The 26,024-nt window shown below is 37.3% G+C and overlaps 1 long non-coding RNA gene across 1 annotated transcript in view; it reads left to right on the top strand.

Annotated features, from left to right (window-relative positions):
• Positions 1-26,024, top strand: part of LOC105377862 (uncharacterized) — a 322,839-nt gene that overhangs the window by 170,296 nt on the left and 126,519 nt on the right. The window lies entirely within an intron of this gene.

Raw genomic sequence — 26,024 nt, forward strand, 5'->3', positions numbered from 1 at the left:
CAAGTCTTAAAATACTGAAAAAATTGAAACAGTATCAAGCAACTTCTCTCACCACAATAGTATGAAACTAGAAATTAATAACAAGAGAAATTTTGGAAACTATACAAATACATGGAAATTAAACAATATGTTCCTGAATGATGAGTGAGTCAATGAAAAAACTAAGAGAAAAATTGAAAAATTTCTCGAAACAAATGATAATGAAAACACAATATACCAAAACCTATGGAATACAGCAAAAGCAGTACTAAGAGGGAAGTTTATAACTGTAAGTGCCCACATCAAAAAAGAGGAAAACCTTCAAATGAACAATCTAATGAGGCATCTTAAAGAACGACAAAAGCAACAAAAACCAAACCCCAAATTAGTAGAGAAGATAAATAATAAAGATCAAAGCAGAAATAAATAAAATTTTTAAAAAAAGCTCAACAAAAGAAAAAGTTGGTTTCTGGTAAAGTTAAATAAAATTGACAAAACTTTAGCCATAAGAAAACAAGAGAGGACAGCAGGGACATGGATGAAGCTGGAAACCAGCATTCTAAGCAAACTATCACACGGACAGAAAACCAAACACCACATGTTCTCACTCATAGGTGGGAGTTGAACAATGAGAATACATGGACAGAGGGAGGGGAACATCACATACTGGGGCCTGTGAGGGGGTAGGGGGCTGGAGGAGGGACAGCATTAGGAGAAATACCTAATGTAAATGACAAGTTGATGGGTGCAGCAAACCAACATGGCACATGTATACCTATGTAACAAACCTGCATGTTGTGCACATGTACCCTAGAACTTAAAGTATAATTTAAAAAAAAGAAAAAAAGAGAGGACATACAAATACATAAAATCAGAAATGAAAAAAAAAAAGACATTGCAACTGTCACTGCAGAAATTCAAAGGATCATTAATGACTACTATGGGCAACTATATGCCAATAAGTTGGATAATCTAGAATAAATGAATAAATTCCTAGACTCATACAAACTACCAAGATTGGACAAGAAAGAAATCCAAGACCTGAACAGACCAATAACAAATAATGAGATCAAAGCTGTAATAAAAACTCTCCTAGTAAAGAAAAGCCTAGAACCCAATGGCTTCACTGCTGAATTCTACTAAACATTCAAAAAACTAACACCAGTCCTACTCAAACTATTCTGGAAAATAGACCACGAGGGAATACTTCAAAACTTATTCTATGAGGCCAGTATTACCTTGATACCAAAACCAGACAAAGATACATTAAAAAAAAAGAAAACTACAGACCAATATCTCTGATGAATACTGATGCAAAAATCCTCAACAAGATATGAGCAAAACAAATTCAGCATTACATCCTTTATGACCAAATGGTATTTGTGTCTGGGATACAAGGACAGTTAAACAAGCCAGTATCTCTGATGAATATTGATGCAGAAAGCCTCAACGAGATATGAGGCAAACAAATTCAACATTATATTAGAAAAAGTATTTATTATGACCAAGTAGGATTTATGCCTGAGATGCAAGGATGTTTCAACATAAATCAATCAATGTGATCCATCTTATCAATAGAATGAAGGTTAGAAACTGTATGATCATTTAAATTGATGCTAAAAAAGCATTCAATGAAATTCTACATTTCTTCATGATAAAAACCCTCAAAAATCCTGGTGATAGAAGGAATATACCTCAACATAATAAAAGTCATATACAACAGACCCACAGCTAGTATCATACTGAATGGGGACAAACTGAAAAGCTTTCCTCTAAGATCAGGAGCACAACAAGAATACCCACTGTCACCACTGTTATTTAACATAGCACTGGAAATCCTAGCTAGAGCAATCAGACAAGAGAAGGATATAAGATATAAAAAGCATCCAAATTGAAAAAGAAGTACAATTATCCTTGTTTGCAGATGATGTGATCTCATATTTGGAAAAACCTAGAATGCACAAGAAAACTATTAGAACCAATAAATTCAGTAAAGTTACAAGATACAAAATCAACATACAAAAATTAGTAGCATTTCTATATGCCAATAGCGTACCATGTGAAAAAGAAATAAAAAAGTAATGCTATTTACAATAGCCACACATAAAATTAAATGCTTAGGAATTAACTTAATAAAAGAAGTGAAAGACGTCTATAATGGAAATTATAAAACTCTGATGAAAGAAATTGAAGAGAACACAAAAAATGGAAAGGTATTTTATATTTATGAATTGGAAGAATCAATATTGTTAAAATGTCCATACTATCCAATGCAATCCTTGTCAAAGTACCAATGGCAATCTTCACAGAAATAGGAAAAAATACTAAAATTTATATGAAACCACAAAAGACTCAGAATAGCCAAACATTTCCTAAGCAAAAAGAATAAAATTGGAGGAATTACATTACCTGACTTTGTATTATATAATGGAGTTATAGTAATCAAAATACCATGACACTGTCAAAAACAGGCACGTAGACCAATAGAAAGGAATAGAGAACCCAGAAACAAATTCACACACCTACAGTGAACTCATTTTTGACAATGGTGCCAAGAACATATACTGGGGAAAAGATGGTCTCTTCATAAATGATTTCTGGGAAAACTGGATATCCATATGCAGTAGAATTAAACTTGAGCCCTATTTCTTACCATATACAAAAATCAAATCAAAATGGATTAAAGAACTAAACCTAAGACCTCAAACTATAAAATTACTACAAAAAAACTTTGGGGAACATCTCCAGGACATTGGTCTGGGCAAAAATTTCTTGAGCAAGACCCCACAAGCATAGGCAAATCAAAGCAAAAATGGACAAATGAGAAGAATCCCATCAACTTAAAATGCATCTGCAGAGCAAAAGATACAATCAACAAAGTGAAGAGACAACCCACAAAATGGGAGGAAATATTTACAAAGTACTCATCTGACAAGGGATTAATAACTGGAATACATAAGAAGCTCGAACAACTCTATAAGAAAAACAATCCAATCAGAAAAATGGGCAAAAAATCTGAATAGACATTTCTCAAAAGAAGACATACTAATGGCAAACAGGCATATGAAAAGGTACTCAATGTCATTGATCATTAGAAAAATGTAAACCAAAACTATAATGAAACATCATATCACTCCAGTTAAAATGGCTTTTATCCAAAAAACAGGCAATTAGAAATGATGGTGAGGATGCGGAGAAAAGGGAGCCCTTCTACACTGTTGGTAGGAATGTAAATTAGCATAACCACTTTGGAAAACAGTTTGGAGGGTCCTCAAAAAACGAAGAATTGAGGTACCAATTCTTATGCTCAGTGATCCAGCAATCCCATTTCTGGGCATATACCCCAAAGAAAGGAAATCAGTATACTGAAGAGTTATCTGTACTCTTATGTTTGTTATGGCATTGTTTACAATAGCTAAGATTTAGAAGCAACCTAAGTGTTCATGAATAGACGAATGATTAAAGAAACTATGGTAGATATACACAATTAAGTACTATTCAGCCACAAAAATGAGTAAGATCCAGTCATTTGCAACAACATGGATGGAACTAGAGATACTCATATTAAGTGAAATAAGTCAAGCACAGAAAAACAAATATCACATGTTATCACTTATTTGTGAGACCTAAAAATCAAAACAATTAAACTCATGGACACAGAGAGTAAAACGATAGCTTCCAGAGGCTGGGAAGGGTAGTTGGAGGGCTCACAGGGGAGGTGGGAATAGCTAATAGGTAAAAAAAAAAAAAAAAAAAAAAAAAATAGAAATAATATATAAAGCATGCTATTTGATAACACAATTGGGTGATTATTGTCAATAATAGCTTAATTGTACATTTTAAAATAATTTAAAGAGTGTAATTGGATTGTTTGTTGTAACTCAAAGGATAAATGCTGGAGGGGATGATTACACCTTTCTCCATTGCATGCCTATACCAAAACATCTCATGTACACCATAAATGTATACACCAACTATATACTCACAAAAATAATAAATAAATAAACAGCACATACATTCCTGGGTTGCTTGAACCATCAAATTTTATTTAGCCCCATCTGAACACTTTCTAAATTTACAAGACATAATATTTTACAACAAAAATTGGCCTTCATTTCAATGACTCTGAACTCCACTAGAATCTGATCAACAAATACAGAATAAAATAAGGTATGATAAGATTAGAATAATGAATATATTGTTTTTTATAATATAATTACTTGAAAATACTTAAATCGAATCATCTCTCTTTTAGTCAATGATATCCATTTCTAGACCATCTTGAATTCATAAACATTGTTATAGTAAATAAACTCTAACACATTTCAGCAGTTTAATTAGCTTTGCTAGGAAGTTCGAATTTTATTTTAGAATATGCTGTTGTCAACTCCTTGATCCAAACTAGGAGACTCCTTTTAGGTGAAACAATCTCTATACATGCTGACCATGGCAATGATTGGGTTGTTACTATGGAAAAAGCAATTGAAAATTAAGGAAGACTAGCAGCCACATTAATTAATTGTCAGAACTCAGGCTCTGTTGCTGGGGAAAAGGTCACAAAAGCACAAGAGTTCAAGAAAAAACAGTGTAGGATGAGAACTGATGTCAACTTGAAACAAGGCTTTTGATTAAACATTTAAGGAATGTCCCAATAGGAAGTAAGTCTGAAAATTGATCCCAAACCAGGAGATCTGTTCTCAGTGAAAAAATACTTACAAAAACCTCAAGTGAGTTCCCAGAACCAAGGTGCCTGGTCAGGCCCTTCACGAGACCAGCAAGCCTTTAAGGAAATTTGTCAGGAGATGACAGTGATATTCTTGAAGTGGAAACTGGTAGCAAGAATGTCACTAATGCCACTTTTTGGCCTTTGAGAAATACAGTGCCTGATAGAATAAAAGAGCTTGAATTTGAAAGGCCTGCAAAGAAAGTGGTGTTTTTAAGGAAAAGTTAATGAAGACAAGGATATTTTTATTTTACTGGAAAATATAACTCAAGTTTCATAGCATGTGGCAGATGTATGGAATGGCAAAGGAAGTGGAGTTTTATAAATCTAGGTAATGATGATGACCAGGGAGGTGAAGCTTCTGAGGATAACCGAGATCAACAGCCATGATCAAAGTATGATGGGGAATAAATGGCAGGTGTATTTTGTACTATCAACTCAGCTACTCCAAGGTTTTGGCAGTTTATTAGATGGTGGTTTCTTGAGGACTGCTTTGAGTAATGACATGACATTGTAAAGAAAGAAAATAGAATTGCTTTTGTATAAATTAATTCACTCAGCTTTATGCAAGACATTGATTACACTAGGCACTGAGGATTCAGTAGTGAGGTAATCGGACAAAATCGTTACCTTCAGAGAGCTTGAATTCTATTAGAAAGGAAATACAGAAAGGGCACAGGTTAGTATCAAGAACTACTTCGTGTCTCTAAGTAAGGTCTGTGCATATTTTATATCAGTATATACTTGTATATGTATTATTACAACAATGAGAGGAGATAGGGAGAGTAACAATGGTGTCTAAAGTGAAACAAGATGAATATTTAACAGCTACAGAAGTCCAAAAGAATTCTGCTTGGACCTAGCAGAATTTTGTTTCTCTCTCTCTCTCTCATCTGTCTATAACTTCATATGATCTAGTCTAATTTCTGACTCCCTGAATTGAATCTAACCCCACACTTGCTGCTGTGCCAGTTAATTCCTGGTACACAATTCAATGTATATTTGTGGTCTAAACTTTTTTATGCTTCTATAACCTTTCTTCTCCTACTTCAGCCTATCTGAAGTTTTATATCTTTATTTATGTCCTAGGCTAAAGTTTTTTCATAATCTGCTCAGTTCTAATTACAAGGTATCTTGCTGCTAGATCTTAATTTTGTCCCAGCTTTTCTAATTTTGGACTGGCTCACATCTATCTATTGAGGACTAATACTAAGCAGCATACAAAAGACAGATACTTATAATAAATAAGCACTTTTAAATTTAGAATCTTCCTCTCTTTGGAACGACACTGGATGGACATAGATTTCCATAGAAAATTACCTTGTGATTTTCCTTTGGATTTAATTAAGTAATTGATTGCTTCAGAATGCACTGTTATTTAAAACACTCTCTCCCAAACTCCCTCAAGGGAAACAATACTAATGATAAATAAATTTAAGGAAATTTGCTTCCTTAAAGCATAAAGACTAATTTGCTGATGGTGGTAAAAACTTTGGAAAATCACATAGAAAAACCAAGTCTCTTGGACAAGTCAGCATCAAGCTATCCTATTATTGACCCTTTCATTATTCTCATTGCCATGGTGTAGAAAAGGGAAGGGTTTCTGCAGGAGTGGAAAAATTCTAATATTATTGCTTATAAATCTGAGTGAATAATTTGAATGCATGTGTCCCTCATAAAATCTCTAAAGATTCTTCCAGTCAGTAACAGTTTCAATTCCTTAAAGTTATACCAAAAACGTCCACAGCTCAAAAATGTCCACAGCTATTAAAATGAGGGTTAGGTGAGGTGTGAATAGAACCTGTATCCATATGCAGGCATTCTATATTAGTCAGGGTTCTCCAGAGAAACAGAAATGATGGATATATATTTAGAGTGGTATGTATTATCATCATCTCTCAGTATACACATGGGAGATTGATTCCAGGACTTCCTGAGTATACAAAAATCTGCACATACTCAAGTCCCACAGTGATCCTGCGGAACTCATATATATTAAAAAAAATTGTCCCTTTGAATACACAGTTTTTGCATCCCTTGAATACCGTATTTCCAATCTTCTTTTGGTTCGAAAATAATATGTGTATAAGTGGATGTGGACAGTTCCAAGCCATGTTCAAGGGTCAACTATATAAGAAATTGACTCATGTGATTATGAAGGCCGAGAAGCCTCACAATCTTCCATCTGAAGTTGGAGATCCAGGAAAGCTGGTAGTGTAAATTCTAGTCTAAGTCCAAAGGCCTGACAACCTGGAGAATCACTGGTATAAGTACCAGTCAAAGGGCAAGAGCAGACTGATATCTCAGTTCAGGCAGTCATACAGAGAGGGAATTCGACCCTCCTCTGTGTTTTTGTTCTATTTGAGCTCTGAAGGGGTTGGATGATGTCCACTCACACTTGGGAGGGCAATCTTCTTTCCTCAGTCCACCAATTTAAATGCTTATCTCTTCTGAAAATATCTTCACAGACATATCCAGAAATACTGTTTTACCAAGTTTCTGGGCATCCCTTTGGCCCAGTAAAGATGATGCATACAATTAATTATCATATGTCCACTTTCACAGTGAATAGCCATCAAACCCTTGTATGTTATTCATCTCGCTGGGCCTTTTATCATGTTTGTTACAAATCCAAAAGCAATAACATGACAGAAGTTTAAGTGATGTCCAAACATAGCAGCATCTGTCAGGAAGAAAAAAAATGTGACAATAGAATGTGTAAAAGGGGATGTGGGATGGGATTAAAATGAGGAAAGAAAGAATAGATAAGAGTCTGGTGAAGGAAAGCTTACACATTGCATCTCAGTTTCTGACCACTGCTGCCAAGGCAGATAGGCAACATCTATTCTCCACCCTGATGTCAAGCATCATTATTTTCAGAGGTTGATAGCAGGTGAGAGATGTGTTCTAATTTGCAGAATAAGAAGGCTATCACACATACAAGTTATACAACAAGTTAGATGCTGGAGAGTCATCAATGTCCTAGTAATACTACATAATTCATGTAATCAGTTTCCTTAATTGGATTCTATTATCTCACTGAATTATGTCAGAAAGTGTTAATGTGGAAAAATCCATCAATAAATCCATCTGAAAACTTTTGATGACTAAGGGATCAGAAAAATATCTAGAGCCATAGTATTTGGTAGCTGTACCATTTCAACAGTGGGAGTTCACATGAGCAATCTGCCAAAGAGGTTGTTAGAAATAAAAACCCAACCCTCATCAGTTTCCTGAATATGGATCTCCATTTTAACAGATCCCCAGCTGAATCATGTATATTAACGATTGAAATGCACTTGTTTAGAACGCTAACTATGGAGTCAGTTTTTTTTTGTGTATGTTTAAATACTAGCTTTGACACTTGTTAAATGGATAACTTTGGGCAAATTCTTAAACTCTGTCTCAGTTTCTTCATATTGCGAATGAGGTACAAATTGGATGTACTTTCAGGGTCATTGTGATGGTTAAATTAGTTAGTGCATATTACAGATTGAGTATCCCTTATTCAACATGCTTAGGACCAGAAGTGTTTTGAATTTTGGACTTTTTTTTTCAGATTTTGAAATACTTGCATATATACAAAATAAGATATCTTGAGGATGGTATCCAAGTATACTCAGGAAACTCATTATGTCTTATATACACCTTGTATGCATAGTCTGAAGCTGATATTATACAATATTTATAATAATTTTGTGGATGAAACAAAGTATGGGTACACTGAACCATTAGGAAGCAAAGGTGTCACTACCCCATCAACACATGTGGATAATCTGTGGCTGTCTGGCATCACCGTCATTCCTGACTCTGAATTGACATGCTACCAATAAGCAATCAATTTTTTTTTTTTGAGACAGGGTCTTGCTCTGTTGCCCAGGCTGGAGTGCAGTGGCACGATCTTGGCTATGCCATTCTCCTGCCTCTGCCTCCCGAGTAGCTGGGACTACAGGCGCCCGCCACCACGCCCAGCTAATTTTTTTTTTTTTTTTTGTATTTTTAGTAGAGACGGGGTTTCACCATCTTAGTCAGGATGGTCTTGATCTCCTGACCTCGTGATCCACCCGCCTCGGCCTCCCAAAGTGCTGGGATTACAGGCGTGGGCCACCGCGCCCGGCCTCAATCAATTTTTTATAATTGGTGGTAAAAATATGACATACCATTAATATAGTGGAAAACAGTATTTTCAGGGCAATGAAGCAGCACAGCAGCATCACCAGAATACCTGTATCAGCTGTTAAACAACAGCAATAACAAGCAATGGTAGTCTTTCAGTCTCCACTTACAATGCTGTGTTTTGACTCAAGGTTAACTATATGCTATATGCTACATTTTACTTTTTTTTTTTTTTTTTGATGAGAAGAAACATCCGAAGCATAGAAGAAGTGAGTCCTTTAGGAATAAGAAGGCATTTTGTTGCATGAATTTTTAAAATGTTTCCTGCAGACTCATCTGCCTCATTAACAATGGCTTTCACTCAGTGGTCTCTCTTTGATTGTATAAACTGACATAATTTCTTGTTGTTACAAATGCATGCTGTTCAACCACACGTTTTCACTGTGTCATTTATAGGCACTTTTTCTGCAGTATTAACATCATCTTCATCATCACTATTATCATAATCAGCTTGATTCAGAATCATTTCAGCTATATTACCATTGGTCAATGAATGAATAACTGGAGCCTCATTAATGATGTTAAAATATTCTTTGATATCTATTTCTTTCAGCTTATTGATGGATTTTGAAGGTATATGTTTTAGATATGTAAGGAGGTCAGATATCATTTCTTTTCACTTGATATACAAAATCCTTCAAAGTCACCACCTTGCTCATCATCATCACTGAACATAGACACAGGCTGGAGGTTGTGCCAGGCACGCACAACTGTGTCTCCAGTCATTGTGTTCTAAGTGTTGGCAACAGCATATTTGGCAAAAATATGCTAAATTTCATGATAAACTCCTTTTGAAAACCTTCCCTATCCATCATCTGTTCACTGCTGCTAGCATGCTGTTCAAAAATTGTTTTTATATTTCTGTTTGTTGCTGTAAGGATACCCTGGTTACATGGATGAATTAATAAAATCACCTTTTGGGGAAAGTACATGAAATAAACCTTTTTTAAATGAGAATTTTAGCTGGAGAATGAGCAGACTGTTTTCAAGGAATAACAAAGTCTTACAGTTGTCACCTAGTCCAGCTTCCCTGCAATGAGCATGAGACAATGGTACAAAATATTTGTGAAACCAATCAGAAAAGATGTTGCTGGTGGTCTATGCCTCTTTGTTACCATAATAATGGACTGATAAAAGTTCACCCCTTGAAAATAGGGAGAATACAAGCTTTTGCCTATCAGAGCAAATTTACATTTATGCATGCCTACTAAATTAGCACATCCCGGCACAGTTATCCTGTCTTTGGCATTCTTAATTACTGTAGGGGCTGTCTAATTAGCTGTAGTTAATGTCTTTCTGGGACAATAATGCCAGAACAGAGATGTGTAATCAGCATTACAGATTTGTTCTGGCATCAGATTTTCATCAGCGATAACCTTGGCAAACTTGTCAATTAATTTCCCCACTGCTTCATGATCAGCAGATGATTTATACCACAAATATTTAAAAATTTAATGTTGTGTCTTTTCAGAAGTTTCTGCAACCAGCCCATTGAATTTTCACAATTTCCATTAATTTTCAGTTCATAGCAACAGATCTTTCTTTGTTTTATGATTAGCGTACCATTGAGTGGCATGTGTTCACTGTGATGTTAACAGGTCAATTCTAGCAATACACAATAGGGATCTTCATTTTTAACTTTAAGTTTATAAAATGTTTTATAAACTTATGTTCATTATTTTCAGCATACACCTTCAAGAGTTTATTCTTCTGTTTCTTCAGGTCATGTTTGGTGATCATTCTACTACCCTACTCTTCTTTTAAGACTCATACCACTGTTCAGGTTCTCCAACAGCTTGACTTTTTAGCTGTAAATAGACATAATCCTTCCCCTTTTCCTAATGACTGTTCCCCATGTGGTGTCTGCAGACCTTTTTGACATTTTCAGCAATATTTTTACACCATAAAGCAGGTAATAAGCAAAAAAAAAAAAAAAAAAAAAAAAAAATCACAGTGAGTAAAGCTCGTAGATCTTGGCTTCATGTAGGGCATTGTTGAAAATCTGCCTTTGATATGTCCATCTTGGACACGTACCATATAATAGCCCTTTTTGGATGGGATGCTTATATGGAAAATTCTGGGCATGTGTAGAAAAGTTACATTGCAACTGAGAGGGCTGAAAGGTCTTTTTTTTTTTTTTTTCCTTTTGAGGATACTGAATAAAATGTGTGTTGTGTCACTGCATTTTGACTGAAACCTGTCAAATGAGATAGGGTGTGGAATTTTCCACTTGTGGCATTACATTGGCACTCAAAAAATTTCAGATTTTGGAGCATTTCAGATTTTGGAGCATTTCAGATTTTTGGATTAAGGATGCTCAACCTGTAAGTAATTTTAAAAGTGCCTGTCATACTGTAAATGCCAAATAAGAATTTATCGTGCTTATCACATATGGTTCACCTATTTTATTCTCAGACATAAAACTGTTTTATCCTTTAGTAAAAACTTACTAAATAACTACAAATTACTTTATTCTGTGGATGGTCAATTTTAATATAAATATATCACTGTTCTTTACTCTGTATTGACTGACTATTTTTATATACACTGGCTCTTAATACCTGTTATAGTATTATTGGAGGATAGAATGATCATCATTGAGATTATGAAGTGTCAAAACATGATAAAATGCTTACCTTAAATAACGTAAAAGGAACATGGTGTCTCTAATGAGTCTGTGACTTTAGGTGAAGAGGTTATAAAACACAATATTAGTAGCATAGGTTAAGTACTATTAGCTACATTTGAAAAAAGGTGTAGTGAAAAAAGGTGATGAAAAAAGCTACATCAGAAAAATAGTAGCCATTTCTCAAGCAGAAATTAAAAGGATAGAGAGAGTCCAGAAATGTAGTATTGGTTGGTCTGGAAAGGAAACTTCTCAACGTGGATTAAAACACGATCTCCATAGAATTGATCAAATCAGGGATGTTGCATTAATCTAGTTACATTCTCTGTGTATAAAGGTGGTGTTCAGTGATGCCCAGAGAGAATCAGCTAATGCTTTAGCTAACTTCTGGAAACCTGAGAGGTTCAAGATACACACAATTAAGTCTAGAAAGGTAGGCATATGACTAAAAGGATTATGAATTTCACTACAGTACATGGAGTTTACTAGAATTAAGTAGATAATTGACACAAAAAATGTTTAAAATACCTAGGAATACAGCTAATTGGGATTCAAAAGATCTCTACAATGAGAATTATAAAACACTGCTCAAAGAAATCAGAGAAGACACAAATGACAAATATCCCATGCTCATGGATAGGAAAACTCAATATAATTAAAATGACCATGCTGCCCAAAGCCATTTACAGATTCAGTGCTATTCCTATCAAACTACCAACAGCATTCTTCACAGAACTAGAAAGAAACTATTTTAAAATTCATATGGAACCAAAAAAAGAGCCCAAATAGCCAAGGCAATCCTAAGCAAAAAGAACAAAGTTGGAGGCATCACGTTACCCTATTTCAAACAATATTACAGGGCTACAGTAACCAAAACATCATGGTACTGGTACAAAAACAGGCACATAGACCAATGGAACAGAATATAGAGCCCAGAGATAAGGCCACAGACCTATGACTACCTGATCTTGACAAAGCTGACAAAAACAAGCAATAGGGAAAATACTTTCTATTTAATCAGTGGTGCTGGGATAACTGGCTAGCCATATGCGGAAGACTGAAGCTGGACCCCTTCCTTACACTATATACAAAAATCAACTCAGGATGGATTAAAGACTTAAATGTTAAACTTAAAACTGTAAAATTCCTGAAGGCAACATAGGCGTAACCATTTTGGACATAGGAATGGGCAAAGATTTCATAATGAAGACACCAAAAGCAAATGCAACAAAAACGAAAACTGACGAGTGGGATCTAATTAAACTTAAGAGCACTTGCACAGCAAAAGAAACCATCAGAGTGAACAGACAACCTACAGAATGGGAGAAAATATTTGAAATCTATCCATCTGACAAAGGTCTAATAGCAAGCATTTATAAGGAACTTAAACAAATTACAATACAAACACCAACAACCTCATTAAAAAGTTGGCAAAGAACTTGAATAGACACTTTTCAAAAGATGGCAAACATGCAGCCAACAAGCATATGAAGAAAAGCTCAATTTCACTTATCATTAGAAAGATGTAAATCAAAACCAGAATGAGATACCATCTCACATCAGTCAGAATTGCTATTAATAAAATGTCAAAAATAGCAGACGCTGGCAAGCTTGTTGAGAAAAGGGAACACTTATACACTGTTGGTGGTAGTGTAAATTAGTTCAACCACTGTAGAAAGCAATATGGTCATCAGATTCCTCAAAGTCAATGTGAAAGAAAAAAATCTTAAAGGCAGGAGGGTGGGGTCACATACAAAGGGAACCCCATCAGACCAAAAGCAGACTTTTCAGCAGAAACCATTCAAGCCACAAGAGATTGGTGGCTTATATTTAGCATCCTTAAAAAAATACAAGCAAGAATTTCACATCCAACCAAACTAAGCTTCATAAAAGAAAGAGAAATAAAATACTTTTCAGGTAAGCAACTGCTAAGGGAATTTGTTACCACCAGATCTGCCTTACAAGATATCATAAAGGGAGTGTTCGACCATAAAAGCAAACGACCAATACTTGTCACGATAAAAACTCACAGGTAAGTAAGTACATAGCACACGGACACTATAACGCAAGTATATGATAATGTCTACATAATAACCAGCTAACAACACAATGACAACATGAAATTCTCACATTTCAATATTAATCTTAAATGTAAATGGCCTAAATGCCCCACTTATAGACACAGAGTGGTAAGTTGGACAAAGAAGCAGCACTCCGAGGAGCCAAGATGGCCAAAAAGGAACAGCTCCGGTCTACAGCTCCCAGCGTGAGCGACGCAGAAGACTGGTGATTTCTGCATTTCCATCTGAGGTACCGGGTTCATCTCACTAGGGAGTGCCAGACAGTGGGCGCAGGTCAGTGGGTGCGCGCACCGTGCACGAGCCGAAGCAGGGCGAGCCATTGCCTCACTCCGGAAGCGCAAGGGGTCAGGGAGTTCCCTTTCCTAGTCAAAGAAAGGGGTGATTGACGGCACCTGGAAAATCGGGTCACTCCTACCCAAATACTGCGCTAATACTGCGCTTTTCCGACGGGATTAAAAAACAGCGCACCACGAGATTATATCCCGCACCTGGCTTGGAGGCTCCTAGGCCCACGGAGTCTCGCTGATTGCTAGCACAGCAGTCTGCGATCAAACTGCAAGGCCACAGCGAGGCTGGGGGAGGGGCGCCCACCATTGCCCAGTCTTGCTTAGGTAAACAAAGCAGCAGGGAAGCTCGAACTGGGTGGAGCCTACCACAGCTCAAGGAGGCCTGCCTGCCTCTGTAGGCTCCACCTCTGGGGGCAGAGCACAGACAAACAAAAAGACAGCAGTAACCTCTGCAGACTTAAATATCCCTGTCTGACAGCTTTGAAGAGAGCAGTGGTTCTCCCAGCACGCAGCTGGAGATCTGAGAACGGGCAGACTGCCTCCTCAAGTGGGTCTCTGACATCTGACCCCCAAGCAGCCTAACTGGGAGGCACCCCCCAGCAGGGGCAGAATGACACCTCACACAGCCGGGTACTCCAACAGACCTGCAGCTGAGGGTCGTGTCTGTTAGAAGGAAAACTAACAAACAGAAAGGACATCCACACCAAAAACCCATCTGTACATCACCATCATCAAAGACCAAAAGTAAATAAAACCACAAAGATGGGGAAAAAACAGAATAGAAAAACTGGAAACTCTAAAAAGCAGAGTGCCTCTCCTCCTCCAAAGGAACGCAGTTCCTCACCAGCAATGGAACAAAGCTGGACAGAGAATGATTTTGACGAGCTGAGAGAAGAAGGCTTCAGATGATCAAATTACTCTGAGCTACGGGAGGACATTAAAACCAAAGGCAAAGAAGTTGAAAACTTTGAAAAAAATTTAGAAGAATGTATAACTAGAATAACCAATACAGAGAAGTGATTAAAGGAGCTGTTGGAGCTGAAAACCAAGGCTCGAGAATTACGTGAAGAATGCAGAAGCCTCAGGAGCTGATGTGATGAACTGGAAGAAAGGGTATCAGCAATGGAAGATGAAATGAATGAAATGAAGCTAGAAGGGAAGTTTAGAGAAAAAAGAAAAAAAAGGAAACGAGCAAAGCCTCCAAGAAATATGGGACTATGTGAAAAGACCAAATCTACGTCTGACTGGTGTACCTGAAAGTGATGGGGAGAATGGAACCAAGTTGGAAAACACTCTGCAGGATATTATCCAGGAGAACTTCCCCATTCTAGCAAGGCAGGCCAACGTTCAGATTCAGGAAATACAGAGAACACCATAAAGATACTCCTCGAGAAGAGCAACTCCAAGACACATAATTGTCAGATTCATTAAAGTTGAAATGAAGGAAAAAATGTTAAAGGCAGCCAGAAAGAAAGGTCGGGTTACCCTCAAAGGGAAGCCCATCAGACTAACAGCAGATTTCTCGGCAGAAACCCTAAAAGCCAGAAGACAGTGGGGGCCAATATTCAACGTTCTTAAAGAATTTTCAACCCAGAATTTCATATCCAGCCAAACTAAGCTTCATAAGTGAAGGAGAAATAAAATACTTTACAGACAAGCAAATGCTGAGAGATTTTGTCACCACCAGGCCTGCCCTAAAAGAGCTCCTGAAGGAAGCGCTAAACATGGAAAGGAACAACGAGTACCAGCTGCTGCAAAATCATGCCAAAATGTAAAGACCATCGAGACTAGGAAGAAACTGCATCAACTAACAAGCAAAATAACCAGCTAACATCATAATGACCAGATCAAATTCACACATAACAATATTAACTTTAAATGTAAATGGACTAAATGCTCCAATTAAAAGACACAGACTGGCAAATTGGATAAAGAGTCAAGACCCATCAGTGTGCTGTATTCAGGAAACCCATCTCACGTGCAGAGACACACATAGGCTCAAAATAAAAGGATGGGGGAAGATATACCAAGCAAATGGAAAACAAAAAAAGGCAGGGGTTGCAATCCTAGTCTCTGATAAAACAGACTTTAAACCAACAAAGATCAAAAGAGACAAAAAAGGCCATTACATAATGGTAAAGGGATCAATTCAACAAGAAGAGCTAACTATCCTAAATATATATGCACCCAATACAGGAGCACCCAGATTCATAAAGCAAGTCCTGAGTGACCTACAAAGAGACTTAGACTCCCACACATTAATAATGGGAGACTTTAACACCCCACTGTCAACATTAGACAGATCATGAGACAGAAAGTTAACAAGGATATCCAGGAATTGAACTCAGCTCTGCACCAAGAGGACCTAATTGACATCTACAGATCTCTCCACCCCAAAACAACAGAATATACATTTTTTTCAGCACCACACCACACCTATTCCAAAATTGACCACATATTTGGAAGTGAAGCTCTCCTCAGCAAATGTAAAAGAACAGAAATTATAACAAACTATCTCTCAGACCACAGTGCAATCAAACTAGAACTCAGGATTAAGAATATCACTCAAAACCGCTCAACTACATGGAAACTGAACAACCTGCTCCTGAATGACTACTGGGTACACAATGAAATGAAGGCAGAAATAAAGATGTTCTCTGAAACCAACGAGAACAAACACACAACATACCAGAATCTCTGGGACACATTCAAAGCAGTGTGTAGAGGGAAATTTATAGCACTAAATGCCCACAAGAGAAAGCAGGAAAGATCCAAAATTGACACCCTAACATCACAATTAAAAGAACTAGAAAAGCAAGAGCAAACACATTCAAAAGCTAGCAGAAGGCAAGAAAGAACTAAAATCAGAGCAGAACTGAAGGAAATAGAGACACAAAAAACCCTTCAAAAAATTAATGAATCCAGGAGCTGGTTTTTTGAAAGGATCAACAAAATAGATAGACTGCTAGCAAGACTAATAAAGAAAAAAAGAGAGAAGAATCAAATAGATGCAATAAAAAATGATAAAGGGGATATCACCACCAATCCCACAGAAATACAAACTACCATCAGAGAATACTACAAACACCTCTACGCAAATTAACTAGAAAATCTAGAAGAAATGGATAAATTCCTGGACACATACACTCTCCCAAGACTAAACCAGGAAGAAGTAGAATCTCTGAATAGACCAATAACAGGATCTGAAATTGTGGCAATAATCAATAGCTTACCAACCAAAAAGAGTCCAGGACCAGATGGATTCACAGCCGAATTCTACCAGAGGTACAAGGAGGAACTGGTACCATTCCTTCTGAAACTATTCCAATCAATAGAAAAAGAGGGAATCCTCCCTAACTCATTTTATGAGACCAGCATCATTCTGATACCAAAGCCAGGCAGAGACACAACCAAAAAAGAGAATTTTAGACCAATATCCTTGATGAACATTGATGCAAAAATCCTCAATAAAATACTGGCAAAATGAATCCAGCAGCACATCAAAAAGCTTATCCACCGTAATCAAGTGGGCTTCATCCCTGGGATGCAAGGCTGGTTCAATATACACAAATCAATAAATGTAATCCAGCATATAAACAGAACCAAAGACAAAAACCACATGATTATCTCAATAGATGCAGAAAAGGCCTTTGACAAAATTCAACAACCTTCATGCTAAAAACTCTCAATAAATTAGGTATTGATGGGACGTATTTCAAAATAATAAGGGCTATCTAGGACAAACCCACAGCCAATATCATACAGAATGGGCAAAAACTGGAAGCATTCCCTTTGAAAACTGGCACAAGGCATGGATGCCCTCTCTCACCACTCCTATTCAACATAGTGTTGGAATTTCTGGCCAGGGCAATAAGGCAGGAGAAGGAAATAAAGGGTATTCAATTAGGAAAAGAGGAAGTCAAATTGTCCCTGTTTGCAGACGACATGATTGTATATCTAGAAAACCCCATCGTCTCAGCCCAAAATCTCCTTAAGCTGATAAGCAACTTCAGCAAAATCTCAGGATACAAAATCAATGTACAAAAATCACAAGCATTCTTATACACCAACAACAGACAAACAGAGAGCCAAATCATGAGTGAACTCCCATTCACAATTGCTTCAAAGAGAATAAAATACCTAGGAATCCAATTTACAAGGGACGTGAAGGACCTCTTCAAGGAGAACTACAAACCACTGCTCAAGGAAATAAAAGAGGATACAAACAAATGGAAGGACATTCCATGCTCATGGGTAAGAAGAATCAATATCGTGAAAATGGCCATACTGCCCAAGGTAATTTACAGATTCAATGCCATCCCCATCAAGCTACCAATGACTTTCTTCACAGAATTGGAAAAAACTACTTTAAAGTTCATATGGAACCAAAAAAGAGCCCGCATCACCAAATCAATCCTAAGCCAAAAGAACAAAGCTGGAGGCATCACACTACCTGACTTCAAACTATATTGCAAGGCTACAGTAACCAAAACAGCATGGTACTGGTACCGAAACAGAGATATAGGTCAACGGAACAGAACAGAGCCCTCAGAAATAACGCCGGATATCTACAACTATCTGATCTTTGACAAACCTGAGAAAAACAAGCAATGGGGAAAGGATTCCCTATTTAATAAATGGTGCTGGGAAAATTGGCTAGCCATATGTAGAAAGCTGAAACTGGATCCCTTCCTTACACCTTATACAAAAATCAATTCAAGATGGATTAAAGACTTAAACCTTAGACCTAAAACCATAAAAACCCTAGAAGAAAACCTAGGCATTACCATTCAGGACATAGGCATGGGCAAGGACTTCATGTCTAAAACACCAAAAGCAATGGCAACAAAAGCCAAAATTGACAAATTGGATCTAATTAACCTAAAGAGCTTCTGCACAGCAAAAGAAACTATCATCAGAGTAAACAGGCAACCTATAAAATGGGAGAAAATTTTCACAACCTACTCATCTGACAAAGGGCTAATATCCAGAATCTACAATGAACTCAAACAAATTTACAAGAAAAAAACAAACAACCCCATCAAAAAGTGGGCGAAGGACATGAACAGACACTTCTCAAAAGAAGACATTTATGCAGCCAAAAAACACATGAAAAAATGCTCATCATCACTGGCCATCAGAGAAATGCAAATCAAAACCACAATGAGATACCATCTCACACCAGTTAGAATGACGATCATTAAAAAGTCAGGAAACAACAGGTGCTGGAGAGGATGTGGAGAAATAGGAACACTTTTACACTGTTGGTGGGACTGTAAACTGGTTCAACCATTGTGGAAGTCAGTGTGGCGATTCCTCAGGGATCTAGAACTAGAAATACCATTTGATCCAGCCATCCCATTACTGGGTATATACCCAAAGGATTATAAATCATGCTGCTATAAAGACACATGCACACGTATGTTTATTGCGGCATTAATCACAGTAGCAAAGACTTGGAACCAACCCAAATGTCCAACAATGATAGACTGGATTAAGAAAATGTGGCACATATACACCATGGAATACTATGCAGCCATAAAAAATGATGAGTTCATGTCCTTTGTAGGGACATGGATGAAATTGGAAATCATCATTCTCAGTAAACTATCGCAAGAACAAAAAACCAAACACCGCATATTCTCACTCATAGGTGGGAATTGAACAATGAGATCACATGGACACAGGAAGGGGAACATCACACTCTGAGGACTGTTGTGGGGTGGGGAGAGGGGGGAGGGATAGCACTGGGAGATATACCTAATGCTAGATGACGAGTTAGTGGGTGCAGCGCACCAACATGGCACATGTATACATATGTAACTAACCTGCACAATGTGCACATGTACCCTAAAACTTAAAGTATAATAAATAAATAAATAAATAAATAAATAAATAAATAAATAAAAAAGAAGCAGCACTCAACTGAATGCTGTCTTCAAGAGAGCCATCTTACATATAATGGAAACCATGAACTTAAAGAAATGGAGAGAGAGATACCAAGCAAACAGAAAACAAAAAAGAGCAGAGGTTTCTATGCTTGTGTAAGAGAAAACAGATTTTAAACCAACAAGGATCCAAAAGGACAAAGAAGGACATCACATGATGATAAAGAGTTTAATTCAACAAGAAGACTTAACTATCCTAAATATATTTACATCCAACACTGGAGCACCCAGATTCATAAAACAAGTTCTCAGAAACCTATGAATAAACTTAGATAATCACATGTAATAAGAGTGCTGGACTTCAAGATTCCACTGATAGTGTTAGACAGAACACTGAGGCAGAGAACTAGCAAACAGATTCAGAACGTAAATAAACACTTGACCCAATGGACTTAACACATATCTACAGAATACTTCACCCAACAACTACAGAATATACTTTATTCCCATCTTCACAATGCACATACTCTAAGATCAACCACATACTCACCCATAAAGCAATTCTCAAACCAAAATTTTTTTAAAAAGTTATACTAGTAAGGTTTGGCTGTATCCCCACCCAAATCTCATCCTGAATTCCCATGTGTTGGGGGAGGGACCCGGTGGGAGGTAATTGAATCATGGGAAGAGGTCTTTCTTGTGCTGTTCTCGTGATAGTGAATAAGTCTCATGAAATCTAATGGTTTTAGAAAAGGGGAATTTCCCTGCACAAGCTCACTCTTTGCCTGCTGCCATCCACATAAAATGTGACTTGCTCCTCCTTGCCTTCCTCCGTGATTGTGAGTCCTCCCCAGCCACGTGGAATTGTGAGTCATAGTAAACCTCTTTCTTTTGTAAATTGCCCAGTCTCAGGTATGTTTTTGCCAGCAGTGTGAAAACAGACTAATGCAGCAAATTGGTACCAGTAGAATAGGGTGTTGCTGAAAAGATACCTGAAAATGTGGAAGTGACTTTGGAACTGGGTAACAGGAAGAGGTTGGAACTGTTTGGAGGGCTCAGAAGAGGACAAGAAAATGTAGGAAAGTTTGAAACTTACTAGAGATTTGTTGAATGGCTTTGAAAAAATGCTGGTAGTGATGTTAACAATAAGGTGCAGGCTCAGGTGGTCTCAGCTGGAGATGAGAAACTTGTTGGGAACAGGAGGAAAGATGATTCTTGTTATGTTTTAGCAAAGGGACTCATGGCATTTTTCCCCTGCCCTAGAGATTTGTGGAACTTTGAACTTGGAAGAGATGATTTGGAGTATCTGGTGGAAGAAATTTCTAAGCAGCAAAGCAGTCAAGATGTGACTTGGGTGCTGTTAAAGGCATTTAGTTTTATAAGGGAAGCAGAGCATAAAGTTTCAGAAAATTTACAGCCTGACAATGCTATAGAAAACAAAATTCCATTTTCTGAGGAGAAATTTAAGCTGGTTGCAGAAATTTTCATAAGAAACATGGAGCAAATATTAATCTTCAAGACAATGGGGAAAATTTCTCCAGGCCATGTCAGAAGTCTGCACGGTAGCTTCTCTCATTATAGGCATGGATGCCTAGTTGGAAAAAGTGGTTTTGTGATCCCGGCCCAGGGTCTCCATGCTGTGTGCAGCCTAGGGACTTGGTGCCCTGCATCCCAGCCACTCTGGCCATGACTGAAAGTGGCCAATATGGAGCTCTGGCCATGGCTTCAGTGGGTACAAGCCCTAAGCCTCAGCAGCTCTTTCACATGGTGTTGAGCCTGCAAGTGCACAAAAGTCAAGAATTAGGGTTGGAAAAACTCTTCCCAGATTTCAGAAGATGTATGGAAACTCCTAAATGCCCAAGCAGAAGTTTGCTTCAAGGGCGTGGCCCTCATGGAGAACCTCTGCTAGGGCAGTGCTAAAGGGAAATGTGGGGTTGGAGCCCCCACACAGAGTCCCTATGAGGGCACTGCCTAGTGGAGCTGTGAGAAGAGGGCTATTGTCCTCTAGACCCCAGAATGATAGATCGACTGACAGCTTGCACCATGCACCTGGGAAAGCTGCACTCAATTCCAACCCCTTAAAGGCAGCTGAGATGGAGCCTGTGACCTGCAAAGCTACAAGGGTGGAGCTTCCCAAAAGCATAGGGACCCACCTCTTGCATCAGCATAACCTGGATGTGAGACATGGAGTCAAAGGAGATCATTTTGGACCTTTAAGATTTGACTGCCCTGCTGGATTTTGGACTTGCATGGGGCCTGTAGCCCCTTTGTTTTGGCCAATTTCTCCCATTCGGAGTGGCTGTATTTACCCAATGCCTGTACCTTCATTGTATCTAGGAAGTAACTAACTTGCTTTTGATTTTATAGGCTCATAGGCAGAAGTGACTTGCATTGTCTTGAATGAGACTTCGGACATTGGACTGTGGACCTTTGAGATAACTCTGAAATGAATTAAGGCTTTGGGAGACTGTTGGGAAGGCAAGATTTGCTTGAAATGTGAGGACATGAGATTTGGGAGGGGCCAGGGGCAGAATGATGTGGTTTGGTTGTGTCCCTGCCTGAATCTCATCTTGAATTCTCACATGTTGTGGGAAGAACCCAGTGGGAGGTAACTAAATCATGGTGGCAGGTCTTTCCCATGCTTTTCTAGTGATAAGGACTAAGTCTCATGAGATCTGGTGGTTTTAAAAAAGGGGAGTTTCCCTGCAAAAGCTCTCTTTTTGCCTGCTGCCATCCATGTAAGACGTGACTTGCTCATCCTTGCCTTCTGCCATGATTGTGAGTCCTCCTTAGCCATGTGGAACTGTGAGTCCAATTTAACCTCTTTCTTTTGTAAATTGCCCAGTCTTGGGTATGTCTTTATTGGCAACATGAAAATGGCCTAATACACATACCAAACGCAGTCTCAGACCACAGCACAATGAAAATAGAAAACCAATAGCAGGAAGTTCTCTCAAAACCATGCAATTACATGGAAATTGAACTGTATGACTTTTGGGTAAATAATGAAATTAAAGCAAAAATAAAACTCTAGTTGAAACAAATGAAAACAAGGATATAACTTAACACTATCTCTGGGACACAGCTAGAGCAGTGAAAGGAAGTTTTGTAACTCTAAATGCCTAAATAAAAAAATCAGAAAAATCTCAAATTAACATCTAACATCACACTTACAGAAACTAGAAAAACAAGAGCAAACTAACCCCAAAGCTATAAGAAAATAAATAACCAATATCAGAGCTGAAGGGAATGAAATTGATATCCAAAAATTCATACAAAAGATTAATGAAATCAAAAGTTCATTACTTGAAACAATAAATAAGATGATAGATCAGTAGCTAGATTATTAAAGAAAAAAGAGAAAAAATCCAAATAAACATAATTAGAAACTGCAAAGGGAACATTACCACCAACACCACAGAAATACAGACAACACTCAGAGACTAGTACAAACACCTATATATACAGAAACTAGATAAACTAGAAGAAAAAGATAAATTCCTGGAAAGGAACAACCTCTCAAGATTGAACGAGGAAGGAACTGAAACTCTAAAAAGACCAAGAATAGGTTCCAAAATGTAATCAGTATATAAAAAAAACCTATCAACCAGAAAAAGCCCTGGACCAGATGGATTCACAGCTAAATTTTACCAGATGTGCAAGGAAAAGCTGGTACCAATCCTAGTGAAACTATTCCAAAAAATTGAGAATGAGAGACTCTTCTTTAACTCATTTCATGAGACCAGCATCATTCTGATACCAAAACTTGGCAGACACAATGAAAAAAGAAAACTTTAGGGGATTATCCTTGATGAACATAGATGTAAAAATCCTCAACAAAATGCTAGCAAATCAAATCCAGCAGATTAAAAAGTGAATTCACCATGATCAAGTAAGCTTCATTCCTGAGACACAATGTTGGTCCAACAAACAAATAAAGAAGTATGATTTATCACACGAACAGAACTAAAAACACAAACTGTATGATTATCTCAATAGATGCAGAAAGGTTTTTGATAAAATTCAATATCCCATTAACATTAAAATTCCTCAACAAACTGTACATCAAAGCAACATACCTCAAAATAATAAGTGCCATCTATGACAAACCCACAGCCAACATCATAATGAATGGGCAAAAGCTGGAAGCATTCCCCTTGACAAGTGGAACATAATACTGGAGTACCTAAAACTCCTATTAAACATAATACTGGAAGTCCCAGCCAGAGCAATCAGGCAAGAGAAATAAATGAAAGGTATCCAAATAGGAAGAGAGAACATCGTAAAACAAGTTCTTAGAGACCTATGAATAAACTGATAATCATACATACTGCTAGACTTGAACACCCCAGTGACAGTGTGAGATAGATCACTGAGGCAGAGAACTAACAAACGTTATTACCTATCAAAATATCTCTGTTTGCAGATAATATGATTCTATACATAGAAAAACCCATAGTTTCTGCCCCAAAACTTCTAGATCTGATAAACATTAGAAAAGTTCCAGGATGGAAAGTCAATTTACAAAAATGAGTAGCATTTCTATACACCTACAACATCCAAGATGAGAGCCAAATCAAGAATGCAATTCTATTCACAATAGCCACAAAAATAAAATATTTAGGAATGCAGTTAACCAAGGAGGTGAAAAATCTCTGCAATGGGAATTATAAAACACTGCTGAAACAAATCAGAGATGAAACAAACAAATAAAAGAACATTCCATGCTTATGGATAGGAAGAATCAATGTTGTCTAAATGGCAATATTGCCCAAAGCCATTTATAGATTCAATGCTATTCCTATCAAACTACCAATGACATTCCTCACAGAATTAGAAAAAAAAAAAAAACTATTCTAACGTGCATATGTAACCAAAAAAGAGCCCAAATGGCCAAAGCAAACCTACAAAAAAAGAACAAAGCTGGAGGCATCACATTACCTGACTTCAAGCTATACTACATGTCTACAGTAACCAAAAAAGCATGGTACTGGTACAACATAGACACATGGACCAATGGAACAGAATAGAGAATCCAGTAATAAAGCTGCACACCTACAACCATCTGATCTTTGACAAAGTCAACAAAAACAAGCAATAGGGAAAGAACTCTCTATTCAGTAAATGGTGCTGGGATAACTGGCTAGCCATATGCAGAAGATTGAAACTGACCATTCCCCTTCAAAATATACAAAAATAAACTCAAGATGGATAAATACTTAAATGTAAGATCTAAAACTATATAAACCCTAGAAGAAAACCTAGGATATACCATTTTGGACATTAGCCTTGGCAAAGATTTCATGATGAAGTCCCCAAGAGCAATTGCAGCAAGAACAAAAATAGAGAAGTTGGACTAATTAAAGTAAAGAGCTTCTGCACCAAAAATGTATCTATCTATCAACAGAGTACTCAGACAACCTACAGAATGACAGAAAATATTTACCTACAGAATGAGAGAAAATATTTGCAAGCTATGCATCTGATAAAGGTCTAATATCCTGAATCTATAAGGATCTTAAACAAACCAAGAAACAAAAAACAACCCCATTCACCAATGGGCAAAGGACATGAAAAGGAATTTCTCGAAAGAAGACATACATGCAGCCAACAAGCATATAAAAAATGCTCATTATCTCTGATTACCACATAACTGCAAATCAAAATAATAATAAAATATCATCTCCTATCAGTCAGAATGTCTATTATTAAAGAGTCAGAGAATACAGATATTGGTGAGGTTGCAGAGAAAAGGAAATGCTGATACTGTGAATGGAAATTAGTTCAGCCACAGTGAAAAGCAGTTTGGAGATCTATCAGTGAACTTAAAACAGATCTACCTTTTGACCGAGTAATCTCATTACTGGGTATATACCCAAACAAATATAAATATTTCCACCAAAAAGACAGATGCTCTTGTGTGTTTATTGCAGCGCTATTCACAATAGCAAAGACATGGAATCAACCTGGATTGTCCATCACTGGTGGACTGGATACAGAAAATGTGGTATACATATAACATGGACTAGTATGCAGCCATAATTAAGTCATTTCCTTTGCAGTAACATGGATGCAACTGGTGGCGATTATTCTAAGTGAATTAATACAGGAACAGAAAACCAAATACTGTGTATTGTCACTTATAAGTGGGAGCTAAACACTGAGTTTACATGAACACAAACAGGAGAATAATAGATACCAGGGCCTACTTGAGGGTGGAGAGTGGGAGGAGGGTAAGTATTGGAAAACTTCCTATCAGGTACA

This window comes from Homo sapiens, chromosome 6 (assembly GCF_000001405.40).
Source record: "Homo sapiens chromosome 6, GRCh38.p14 Primary Assembly".
Taxonomy (NCBI): Eukaryota; Metazoa; Chordata; class Mammalia; order Primates; family Hominidae; genus Homo; species Homo sapiens.